Source organism: Homo sapiens, chromosome 3, assembly GCF_000001405.40.
Source record: "Homo sapiens chromosome 3, GRCh38.p14 Primary Assembly".
Classification (NCBI taxonomy): domain Eukaryota; kingdom Metazoa; phylum Chordata; class Mammalia; order Primates; family Hominidae; genus Homo; species Homo sapiens.
The window spans coordinates 193,705,575-193,718,314 of record NC_000003.12 but is presented as its reverse complement, the minus strand read 5'-3'; the positions used below and the strand labels follow the sequence as shown (position 1 = coordinate 193,718,314).

The 12,740-nt window shown below is 46.2% G+C and overlaps 2 annotated features.

Moving 5' to 3' along the window:
- Window positions 6,235–7,169: an enhancer, noted in NCBI's record as "H3K4me1 hESC enhancer chr3:193428935-193429869 (GRCh37/hg19 assembly coordinates)". NCBI's record gives its function as "activates a minimal SCP1, AML or CMV promoter by ChIP-STARR-seq in primed H9 embryonic stem cells {active_cell/tissue: H9 hESC(primed)}" and the evidence as "EXISTENCE:reporter gene assay evidence [ECO:0000049][PMID:30033119]".
- Window positions 7,170–8,105: an enhancer, noted in NCBI's record as "H3K4me1 hESC enhancer chr3:193427999-193428934 (GRCh37/hg19 assembly coordinates)". NCBI's record gives its function as "activates a minimal SCP1, AML or CMV promoter by ChIP-STARR-seq in primed H9 embryonic stem cells {active_cell/tissue: H9 hESC(primed)}" and the evidence as "EXISTENCE:reporter gene assay evidence [ECO:0000049][PMID:30033119]".

Genomic DNA, 12,740 nt, shown 5'->3' with positions numbered 1-12,740 from the left:
TTGCCATCTATCTTTTTTGGGTTTTGGTGAGGTGTTTGACTCCTTTTTTTGTTTTGTTTTGATGTTTGTTTGTTTGTTTTGAGATAGAGTTTCACTCTGTCGTCCAGGCTGGAGTGCAGTGGTGCTATCTTGGCTAATTGCAACTGCCACCTCCCGGGTTCAAGCGATTCTCCTGCCTCAGCCTCCTGAGTAGGTGGGACTATAGGTGCTCGCCACCACACCCAGCTACTTTTTGTATTTTTAGTAGAGACGGGGGTTTCACCATGTTGGCCAGGCTGGTCTTGAACTCCTGACCTCAAGCGATCTGCCCACCTCTGCCTCCCAAAGTGCTGGGATTACAGATGTGAGCCACCATGCCTGGCCAGTTTGATTCATTTTTAATTGGTTTGCTTTCTTATTGCTGAGTTTTAAGGGTTCTTTGTATATATTGGATAATAGTCCCTTATCAGATATGTTTTTACAAATATTTTCTCCTAGCAAAATGATCTTTTAAAAAAGCAATTCTGATCTTGTCACTTTCTTGCTCAAAACCCTTCAGTGGCTCCCCATCATCTTCAGCATAAAAATCTAAACCCCTTAACTTGTCACAATTTAAAACAACCTAACTCTTCAATTTCTTCCCTTAGCCTTCCTCCCTTTCCTTGACAAAGACACGCTCTTGGCTCTAGTCCCACTAGGCCAGCTTCAATTACCTAACTCCCTGCATGACATTCATTGAACACCTATTATGTGGCAGACACTATGCTAGGTGCATTTTTACTATTCACTTTCTTGACTGTTACCACAGTTAAGTAAGGGCTTATTATGCCACAGATGACAGTTCACTTTTGCCTGTTTTTCAACTCAGTTCAAGTGCTTCCTCCTCCACCTGGATCTGCTCTTTCTGTCTTCCCATGACACTCTATGCCTTTTCAGAGCACTAGTTCTCCAGAGTTAATTCTTGCCTATGATCCTGGATTACTGTCTTTGTTAGGTACAATTCCTATCAATCTGCATGGGCCTCTTGAACTGAGGACAACACTCTAACAGGGCCCGGCCTAGGGTGAGGCCAGGAGCCAGACTGAATGCAATGGAACCTCGTGCTCCCACAGCCAGATCTTGCCAGCCCTGTCCATCCCAGCAGCACCTTGCAGGATTCATCCAAGCATGTGCAGACACCCAGCCTGCCTCAGCCCTCCGCTGCTGGCCTTCAGAGCGTCTAGTGCCTGGGGTGTTGCTGGCACTGTGTCTTGGAGGGAAGTGAAGCAAAAGCGTCGGGACAAGGGGAATTATGTTCTCAAGAGCGTCGGGCTATAGGGCATCTGGGTCCTCCTGCAGAGGCCCCCAGGCTGGGGGCAAGCTGAGAGTCCCTGCCAAGCCTCTCTTCCTCTAGTTGGTGGAGTCTCTTTGCATTCTGACAATTGTGACCCAGCTTGTGTGCTCAGGTTATAGGGTGGGGCTTGCTGGAATCCCTACCCTGGGTATTGTGGGCAGGAATTCCAGAGGTGCTGCCCCTGGTGGGACTGGGAAGCAGGCAGTAGATGGAGCCTCCCCAGAACCTTGGCATTGCCAAGCCAGCTCCCTGGCCAGGGACACAGTATTGGGCAACACACTTCCAGGTGCAAACCTCAGGTACTCGTTTGTAAAATGGAGATCATGCTAATAGAGGATGGGGTTGCCTTGACTGTGGAGTGAGGCAGATTCAGCTAGCAGCAGCCTCCTGGGTTGTTGCAGGGGTTGATGTGAATGCAGGAGAGAAGTCCATGAAATGGAAAATTCTATGGATGGAAGCAAGTGTTTTTGCTGTTTATGTGCATGTGTTTATGTCAGCCACGGTGGTGATTTTTTTTTTTTCCCTTGACGTGAGCCATAAAGTCCTTAAAAAGCCTCATAGAGCTGGGTTTGGTGAACTGGAGGGAGCCAGGCCCCAGACACTTTAAACATGGCCTCAAGAAACTCCCTTCCCCTTTTGAGGATGCAGTTTCCCCACCTGCGAGTGAGGAAGTTGAACCACTTCCTGCTCTGGCCTGCTCTCTGACAGCTGTTTAACTTTCCTTCCCTCTATGCCATACATATATGCAGAGTGGCTTTGGGAATGCTGAAAGATGTGGGATATCGTGCAGCAGAGTGTGTTTAAATCTGCCTGACATGGTTTTAAGAAAGAATGGGCCAGATTCAGGACCAGAACAAATCAGACGCCTTCCAGTGGTGTGGAGGGAATCCTGAACTCACCAGTTATGTTAGGCCATTCTTTCACTGCTATAAAGAAATACCTGAGAATGGATAATTTATAAAGAAAAGAGGTTTAATTGGCTCGTGGTTCTGTAGGCTGTACAAACATGGAGCCATCTGCTTAGCTTCTGGGGAGGCCTCAGGGAGTTTTTACTCATGGTACAAGTCAAAGCAGGAGCAGGAGCATCACATGGCAAACGCAGGAGCAAGAGAGAGTGGGAGTGGGGAGGGAGGTGCCACACACTTTTAGATGACCAGATCTCATGAGAACTCACTCATTGTCTCAAAGACAACACCATGCCATGAGGGATCTGCCCCTATGACCCAACTATCTCCCACCAGGCCCCACCTTCAGCATTGGGGATTACAATTCAATATGAGATTTGGGTGGGGACAAATATTCAAACTCTAACATTCCACCCCTGGCCTCTCCCAAATCTCATGTCCTTCTCACATTACAAAATACAATTATGCCTTCCCAATAGTTCCCCAAAGTCTTAACTCATTCCAGCATTAACTCAAAAGTTCAAAGTCCAAAGTCTCATCTAAGACAAGGCAAGTCACTTCTACCTGTGAGCCTGTAAAATAAAAAAAAACAAGTTATTTACTTCCAAGATACAATGAAGACATAGGCATTGGGTAAACATTCCCATTCCAAAAGGAAACAATTGACCAAAAAAAAAAAAAAAAAAAAAAAAAAAAAAGGGTGGGGGGAACTGCAGGCCCCTCACAAGCTTAAACCCAGCAGGGGAGTCACTAAATCTTAAAGCTCCAAAATAATCTCCTTTGACTCCATGTCCCACATCCAGGGTGCACTGGTGCAAAGGATGGGCTCCCAAGGCCTTGGGCAGCTCTGCCCCTGTAGCTTCACAGGGTGCAGCCCCTGAGGCTGCTCTCAAAGGCTGGAGTTGAGTTTCTGAAGCTTTCCCAGGCACAGGATGCAAGCTGCTGGTGGATCTATCATTCTCAGATCTGAAGGACAGTGTCCCTCTTCCCCCAGCTCCACCAGGCAGTGCCCCAGTGGCAACTCTGTGTAGGGGCCTCCAACCCCACATTTCCCCTCTGCACTGCCTTAGTAGACGTTCTCTGTGAGGGCTCTGCCCCTGCAGCAGGTTTCTACCTGGATACCTAGGCCTAGTATCCCCTGAAACTAGGCAGAAGCCACCCAGAATCCACCACTCTCGCATTCTGTGCACCTGCAGGCTTAACACCACGTGGAAGCCACCAAGGTTTAAGGCTTGCATTCTCCAAAGAGGCAGACTGAGCCGTACCTGGGCATGTTTGAGCCACAGCTGAAGCTGGAGTGGCCAGGATGTGGGAGTAGTGTCCCAAGGTTGTGCAGGGCAGCAGGTCCCTGTGCCTGGCCCAGGAAACCATTCTTTCCTCCTAAGCCTCTAGGCCTGTGATGGGAGGGGCTGCCATGAAGTTTCCTGAAATGCTTTCAAGGCCTTTTGCTCATTGTCTTGGATATTAGTACTTGACTCCCTTTTAGTTATGCAAATATCTTTAACAAGTGGTTGTTCCACAGCCTGCTTGAATTCCTTTCCTAATAAGCTTTTTCTTTCTTTGTCACATAGCCAGGCTGTACATTTTCCACTTTACACTCTGCGTTCTTTTTAAATATAAATTCAAACTTTAAGCCATTTCTTTGCTCCCACATGTGACTTAGGTTGTTAGAAGCAGCCATGTCACTTCTGAAACATTTTGCTGCTTAGAAATTTCTTCTGCCAAACACCCTAAATCATCACTGTGAAGTTCATTCAAACATCCATAGATCCCTAGGGCATGAACACAAGGCAGCCAAGTGCTTTGTTAATGCATAACAAGGATGGCCTTAGCTCCAGTTCTCATTTCCATCTGAGACCTCTTCAGCCTGGCCTTCACTGTCCATGTCACTATCAACATTTTGGTCACAACCATTTAACCAGTCTCTAAAAAGTTCCAAACTTTCCATCTTCCTGTCTTTTTCTGAGCCCTCCAAACTTCCAGCCTCTACCTGTTACCAAGTCCCAAAGTTGGTTCCACATTTTCAGGTATCTTTTAGCAATGCCCTACTCTCAGTACCAATTTTCTACGTTAGGCCATTCTTTCATTGCTGTGAAGAAATACCTGAGTCTGGATAATTTATAAAGAAAAAAGGTTTAATTGGCTTAGGGTTCCACAGGCTGTACAAGCATGACACCAGCATCTGTTTAGCTTCTGGGGAGGTCTCATAGAGCTTTTACTTATGGTGGGAAATGAAGTGGGAGCAGGCACATCACATGACCACAGCAGGATCAAGAGAGAGAAAATGTTGGGAGGAGGTGCCACACACTTTTAAATGATCAGATCTTGCAAGAACTCACTATCTCAAAGACAGCACCAAACCATGAGGGATCTGCCCCCATAACAAAAACACCTCCCATCAGGCCCCACCTCCAGCACTGAGTATTACAATCATTCAACATGAGACTTGGGTGGAGACAAATAACCAAACTATATCTCCTGTCTTGGGTTATTTCTGGATGGTGGCATGGAGGGAGGAGGCAGGGGAGGCCTGGTGGCAAGAGAGTAGTCACCTTGTGAGAACTGGCCTGAGCCAGTGGATTGAGATAGGCTAATAGACACAATCCTCTGTGGTCAGACCCATCACCCCTCCCGTGCTCAGGACTGGATAATGGAGCCAGGGACCATATGCTGGCCCTGGAAGGACCCCAAGAGACACAAAGACCAACTCCATCCTTTAACAGAGTCAGCCTTTGATGCCAGAGCTTGGAAGAGAACTGATCAAGTTAGAGGCAGAGCCAAGAGGCTGTGCCTGGTGGGCTCATAATCATGGTCTGCTGGACAAACAGGTCACATTGGCTTCAAATGCCAAGGTAAAGTTTCAAGATTCTGCGGCTTAAAACAGGCAAGACACGCCAAGCATAGGGTCTCATGTCTGTATTCTCAGCACTTTGGGAGGCTGGGGTAGGAAGATCCCTTGAGCCTAGGAATTTGAGACAGCCTGGGCAACATAGTGAGATCCTCGTCTCTACAAGAAAAAAAATTTAAAAATTAGCCAGTTGTGGTTTTATGCACCTGTAGTCCCAGCTACTTGGGAGGCTGAGGCTGGAGGATAGCTTGAGCCTCGAAGTTCAAGTTTATAGTGAGCCGTGATCATGCCACTGTGATCCAGTCTGGGTGACAGAGTGAGTCCCTGAAAAAAAAAAAAGAAGAAAGAATAAAGACAGAAAGAAAGAAAGAAAGAAAGCAAGCAAGCAAGCAAGCAAGCAAGCAAGCAAGCAAGCAAGCAAGCAAGCAAGCCAGCCTTATCTATATTAGAAGTCTGTATTGTGGGCACTTTGCTGGAGTGATTGCCTGGGAGGGAGCACAGGTGAGCTTGGAGGGTGCTGGAAATATTCAATTTCTTGTCCTGGGTGCTCAACACAAGGCTGTGGCAGTTTGTGAAAATTCATCAAGCTATAGGGATGATACATGTACACTGTACTTCAAACAAATATTTTTAAAAAAGAACTAAAATAAGAAAATCATGTGGCTTAGACACTGTTCGGCAGCCCCCTGGGGCGTAGAGGAGAGGGCGGTATGTTTCCAACACCCCCAGCTGTAACCATGGGATGGGGGAGTGTTCGAGGGCTGGCCACTGGCGCATATTGGCAGAGCAAACACACGGGCCTCCGAGCACACTGTCCCCTCTGTGTACACAGGATGTTAGGCCAGGCTCCACCGAGCTGCACTTCATGGCAACAAAGACAACAATGCTACCATCTCGTAATCGTCAATAGCATCGCCTCACTCAAGTCTTTGGTCCAATATTTGCAGAGCCAGGGGAGCCACGTCTACTTTGCAATATTGACTTAGATTCGTCACTTACCAGAAAAACCTGAGTGCCCAGGCCCGCCTGCTCATCCATCGTGGCCTTTGGGAGGTGCGTGGCCTTAGGCAGAATGTGTGGGGTCATGGAAAACCAGCCCCCTTCGTTTCATGGCTGTTGTCACTATTATCTTACCCGTGTACCCTGGAGTCAGGCTGTGGAGAGGGGTCATGAATCTCCAGACTGCTGATTAAGATTGCCCGATGTCCTCTGTAATCCAGTCTACAAGATTTGGAGAGAAGTGAGTTGGCAAAAATGAAGCATGGAGTTCACCTTTTTGAATGGAAGCTTTCAGGAAATGGCGATTATAAAGCATTTCTTCATGAAGAAAAGCTTTCTTTTTCATAAGGAAAGGACATTTCTTCTTCATAAATGGGTTAAACCTTATAAATGCCTAAGACGTTGGCTTCCAGTTCAGGGTTTCACTTTTCCCGATAATTTCTGAGTGAGACACTGTACCATTGACAAATACAAGAGACTGCTTTCCAGAAACTCATGTTGCCCAGGGAAGCAGCTCCCGCTTTGTGAGCTCCAGGGCCCCAGTGCCCGGCCATGACCTGTGACCTCCTCGCTCCCGGCCTGGCTGTCAGCTGGAGAATGTGAGGGGCCAGCCTGCATCAGCTGGACAGGGAGGGCCTGGACACACTGCCCGGAGGCTCTGCTTTCCACAAGGGGCTGACCCCTCACCTCAGGTGCTGTGTCCCGAGGGCAGCCTGGATGCCCAGTCAGGGGGCAAGAGCTTAGACACCCCTGCCCTGAGAGCATTTCTCTTTCTCCCATTTTTATCAGAAAGGCTCTGATGAGACTCCCTGCCCTGCCCTCTTTCTGCCTCCAGGGCCCACACATTCAGGGAGGCCTCCCATAACCATTAATTTAGCCAATTTCCTGGGCCGCACCATCCCCCGGGGACCCCACTTTGGTGGGCAGCAGCGGAACAAGACCCCCTGCTGTTTCCCTTCCCTTTTAATTACACGAGGACAAGCTTCCTTGGGCTGACTTTGGGAGGCAAGCCCCAGGCCAGCCTGGCTGCCCTCCACGAAACAATGCACACATGTTCCGGAGAATTCCCTCCTCGCCTAATCCGGGCTGGGAAGAAAAGGGCTTTTCTTCTTCTTGTCAAAGGGAGTCTTCGATGCTAAGATACCATTTTGTGTCTCAAGTCATGTCACGGGACTTCTGCCTCAGCCTCGCTGCCTGCTCTTTGGAAATGAAAGACACAGTCCTTGATTCACCTCAGGACAAGTGCCCCCACCCTGCCCTCCTCTGAAAATGAAAGGGGGTTGGGGGCCAAGGGAAGCGGGAAGAGCTCCCAACTCCCACTGTTTCTTTCTCATCCTGGCAACCTCGGCTTTCTGAACTATTTGCCCAAAGGATGAGTAGGGAGGGCTGAGCCTCACCTGCTGATCTCAAGGGTCATGAATATTCTTATAATCCCCTGGAAAAAAGGGCCCTTTCATTAGAGAAGCGGATTCAGTCCTGGCGGCCTTCGGTGTTCCCACCTCCTCCTGCCCACCGGCCTGGCCTCCACTCTGCGGTCCGGCTCCGCGGCCTCTGGGTCCCTGCTGGCTTTTCGGCTATTCGCATAGACTAGAAGAAGAACTGGATTTTCATAAGGCACTGCTATGCTGCTTTCCCTCACTAATCCATGTCCCTATGTCATAGAAGAGTTAAAAGAAATAACAAGAAAGAAGTTACAGACATGCAACCTGCCCCTTAGAAAGGGGCAGTTTCACACGAGGGAACTTGCTGAACTCCCTTCAGTACACACGAGGGAACTTGCTGACCGACTCACTGGTAGTTGCATGTTTAAGTTCACACTTTACTTCATTGGACAAAAGGATCTAAGGTCACTTTTGGAAATTCCCACAATAATGCAGATGAAGAAATCAAAGTTACATGAGGAAAAAAAGGGAGCAAGGTGAAATCAAGTCAAGGAAAAATTTAATACCATGAAATTAAGGACTGAATCTGCTTTTCTGATGAAAGGGTCCATCTTTCTAGGGGGTTATAAGACATATAATGTAAGGCTCCATATGAGAGCAAGGATAGGCTGATAATTTAGTTTTGGGCTTCCTAGCAGCCAAAGTAAAAGGAGAAAAATGGTCAATAGAAGGCAGGCACAAAGCATTTGCTCAGGGGTGGCGCAGTTCTTCCTGATGCTGGGTTCTCTATCAACCGTGGGTCCTGGAACAAAAACACTGGTGTGCCGCATTAACAATGTCATCATTAACATCCCTGCGCCAAAGGTAAGAGTTTCACTTAGCAATGCTAAATGAGTTGGACCTGAATCCTCTGCATCTTCTTAAGAAAAATACAGACCCACATGACAGCCTACGTTTTCTTCAGAATCTGTAAGTGCAGCTTATTGAGTTGGTGCCACACAGGCAACACCCTTAAGGGCCTCTCCTGAACAGACATGAATGCTCAGGACTTGGGCTGTGAACTGGACTGTTCACTCTTCCAGGCCCAAGCCCGTAGCACCAGCACCAGCAGAGCAGTTGGAGCAGCGGTGGCTCCACAGAGCAGAGCTGGGCCCTGACTGGAAGCAGAGGCCACTGAAATGTCTGCTAACCCTTTGCTTAGCAGAAAGAGTGGAGGAAACACCTCTGGAGAATAAATTGTACTTGTGTCAGCATAGGTGAGTAGACAGTGCAGGAGAGGGGCAAGATTCCATCAATATTTCTTTTTCTTTTTTTTTGTTTTTGAGATGGAGTCTTACTCCGTCACCCAGGCTGGAGTGCAGTTGTGCCATCTCAGCTCACTGCAACCTCCGTCTCCCTGGTTCAAGCGATTCTCCTGCCTCAGCCTCCTGAGTAGCTGGGAATACAGGCACCCGCCACCACGCCCGGCTAATTTTTGTATTTGTAGTAGAAATGGGGTTTCACCATGTTGGACCTTGGCCTCCCAAAGTGCTGGGATTACAGGCATAAGCCACCGCATCTGGCCAATTCCATCAATATTTCTGATGCCATTCTTGTTTTTGGTTTGGAAACAATTATTGATGGATCTTAATTTAAACCAACATAGTGTCATAATAATAGCTAATAGTTTTGGACACTCACCATGTGCCAGACACTTTGAAAGTGTTTAAAATATATTATCTAATTTTAACCCCAAAGCCCCGAGATAGAAAACACACACACTTGTGTGTGTGTGTGAAATGAGGAAATGAAGGCTTAGAGAAGAATTTGACACCGCACAGCTAGAAAACAGCAGTGCCAGGATTTTAACCCAGTACTGCGACCTGCAGGGCCCAGGGTCTTCACGAGCATAACATCCTGAGAAGAAAATCCTACTAGAAATCAGGAGGCCTGGAAGTGTTTGCTTCAGAGATCCAAACAAACTAGCTTTGTAAACTGTAACAAACTAGCTTTGCTATGTTCTCCTTCAGGGATTCATTTATGCCATGTTTTTGAACATGTATTGGGACTTCAAAATCCTTTATAGCCCCGACATTCAAATCAGCTTATTTATTCATTAGATCACAATGTATTGTGCCAGGACTGTGTTATGGGGAAATCAGGCGCAGTCAGTCTCTGATTTCTTAGAATCTACAATCTAAATGGGAAGATGGACACCGTGTAAGTAACTGGGAATGTCACATGCACAAAGAGGGCCAAGTTTAGGGTGCTACAGGAGAATATCAAAAACTTAGATTAGTCTGAGTTGGGAGCTAGGTCAGGGAAGGGCTCCCAGAGGAGGTGATATTTCAGCAGAGCCCTAAGGATAAGTAGCAGTTGGCTAGGCAGATGGGAGTTCGGGGTTGAGAAGAGGACGTACAAAAGCCCAGGGTAGCATAGAGTGTATTTATAGACCCGAAAGCTCAAGTGTCTGAAGCACAGGGAAAAAGGAGGCTGGAGAAGGCAGGGGCAGATCTCACTGGGCCCTGAAAACCCTTGATGACTCTGAACATTATCAGGACAGTGCCAATCCATACCATGGCTTTAAGCAGAAGAATAACAATCATCTAGGATCTGGCTATAATACAGAGGCTAAGCCAGAGGAAAGCAAGAGAGCAAATGAGTCAGGAGGCCCTGCAGATTATGACTAGGGCCAAGATGGTGACAGTGTGGACGGAAAGGCATGGATGGATTTGAGATGCTTGGGTGTCTAATTAATAGGCCATGGTGGAGATTTGATGTGGACATGGGGTTGGGGGAAGAGTCAAGGGTGACCCCTAGTTTTTGGTTTGAGCAAAAAGGTAAATGATGTAAATGATATTCCCATTTAGTGAAACAGAGCAGAGTGAAGTGAGTACAGGTGGGCAAGAATTATAATGACTTTAGCTATAAGGTATCTTTGAAAAGTACAAGTGATAATGTTGAATAGGCATCGGGAAGCACTGGCGATTAAATGAGAGTTGAGGCTATGGGAGTGGATAAAATCTAGGAAGAGAATATCGGTTGGAAGAGCACCAGAACAGAGCACTGAGGAGGAAGAACAGCCAGGAAGGTAGGAGGAAGAACAGCCAGGAAGGTAGGAGGAAAATCAGAAGTGTGTGCTGTAATGGAAGCCAAGAGAAGCAAGTACTTCAAAGATGAAGTGGTCAACGCTACAGAATATAGTAATGGGTGAAGTGAGATATGGCCTGAAAACTATCCGATGAATGTAATGACATGGACACCACCATGTCCTTAGGGAGAACAGGTCCGGTGGAGTCGTACAGCTGATTTGGACATGCAACCAATATACCAGGTATCACTGCCATTTGCTGGCCTGGCTTCTGGCACTTGCCATTGACATAAAATATATCCCGATTTCAGGTAAAGAAGCCAACAGGTAATTTTCATGGATGGTGCAGAGCTTCAGATATTTTAAACAAAGGGTCTGATCCTATAGCTAAGCCTCATAGTACAAAGCAGTGATTGACAAATGTTTAATGTCTTGAGAATTATTGAGTACCCCAGGAGTTTTTGTGTAGGTTATGTCTGTTGATATTTATTATATTAGAAATTAGAACTGGCTGGGTGCAGTGGCTCATGCCTGTAACCCCAGCACTTTGGGAGGCAGGGGCGGGTGGATCACTTGAGGTCAGGAGTTCGGGAACAGCCTGGCCAACATGGTGAAACCCCATCTCTACTAAAAATACAAAAGTTAGCCGGGTGTGGTGGCATGCGCCTGTAGTCCCAGCTACTGGGGAGGCTGAGGCAGGAGAATCACTTGAACCTGGGAGGTGGAGATTGCAGTGAGCCAAGATCATGCCCCTGCACTCCAGCCTGGGTGGGTGACAAGAGTGAAACTCTGTCTCAAAAAAAAAAAAAAAAGAAAAAAAAAGAAAAAGAAAAAAGAAATTATAACTGAGAAATATTACTCAATTTATTTAAAAAATAAAACAATTACATGTTAACATAAATAACATTTCTGATGAAAAACAAATATAGCAACAAGAGTAGTACCATCTTTCATTTTTGCAATTCTTTTTAATGTCTGGCTTGATAGCAGATAACCGGATTATCTTACCTGCTTCTGCATTCAATCTATTGTGATATGCTGTTTTGGCTGACACAGATATAGAAAACCTGGCCTCACACAGTTACGGAATTGAAAAAGAGAAGAATGTAAGAGCCATTTCAGGTAATTGTGAGTCTTCTCTGATACTGCACCCACACTTAAAAAAGGTTAGTTGTAATGTGGCATCCGAAACCATATCAATGAACTTCTCCATATTCTGTGACCTAAACTCCTCTGGTCCAGCTCCCATTTTGTAGGCATCTTTACCCATGCCTGATTTGTTACCACAACGCATTAACCATTCGAGAAATACCAGTTCCCACGGTTATGCAGATCCTCCAACTGTTGACACTTCGCACTTTACAATATCCAAAAATCACATCCACTAATATCATTATCTCATCAGAAATACATACACTGAAAAGCTGTCAAGCTCAATGACAAGCTCAATATAAGTTTTTCAAAATGTTCATTTTTGCTTAGATGTGTAATTTGTATCATTGGCAATAAATGCACAGAAGTGGTTTTCCTTGAAGTGGCTGGCTCACTCCGCTTAGTTTGAGAAAATGGCTGCCAGGTGACCAAGTCTGACTTATGTAGTTTGTCAGTGATTCTTTTAAGCAAAATGGTGTTCCTTGAAAAAAAAGTGGTAATTTACGTCACCAATTAAACAATTATACAAGTACTTTTCCTCAAGATCACCAATATCCTTTATATGCACATGTTTTCTGTGTACCAGGCTTCTGTGTTTTTTTTGGAAAAAAGGGGAGTGCACGGCAGTGAAGATGACATAGTGCCTGTTAGGACCGGCAGTGCCGTTGCCTTGATTCATGCCGAGGCTCCAGTGTGGTGTGCTGTGGTTTTTCTACAACCAGTGAATGTCAGCACAGTGAAAAGGGCAAATATTAGTATTATTATCAAAATCATGGTGACCTTGTGGACCATGGAAATAATCTTCAGGACCCCCAGGGACCCAAAGACCACACTCTACCAACTGCTGGTGCAGAGTAAGCACTGGCATCTAAGAAGGCAATTTCCTCATGGAGAAACTCTCCAGATGCCAAAAAAGGCAAAGATTTTCCCCTGGAAGTGTTTTATATCTTTAGTAAAGCTCTGTAATAAATACTTCAGAAGTTTAGTGCCAGAATCAAACTATTTAATTAAATGTTTAAAATAATACAATAATCAGTTCGATTTATTCCATCACAACGAATATCTTATTTAC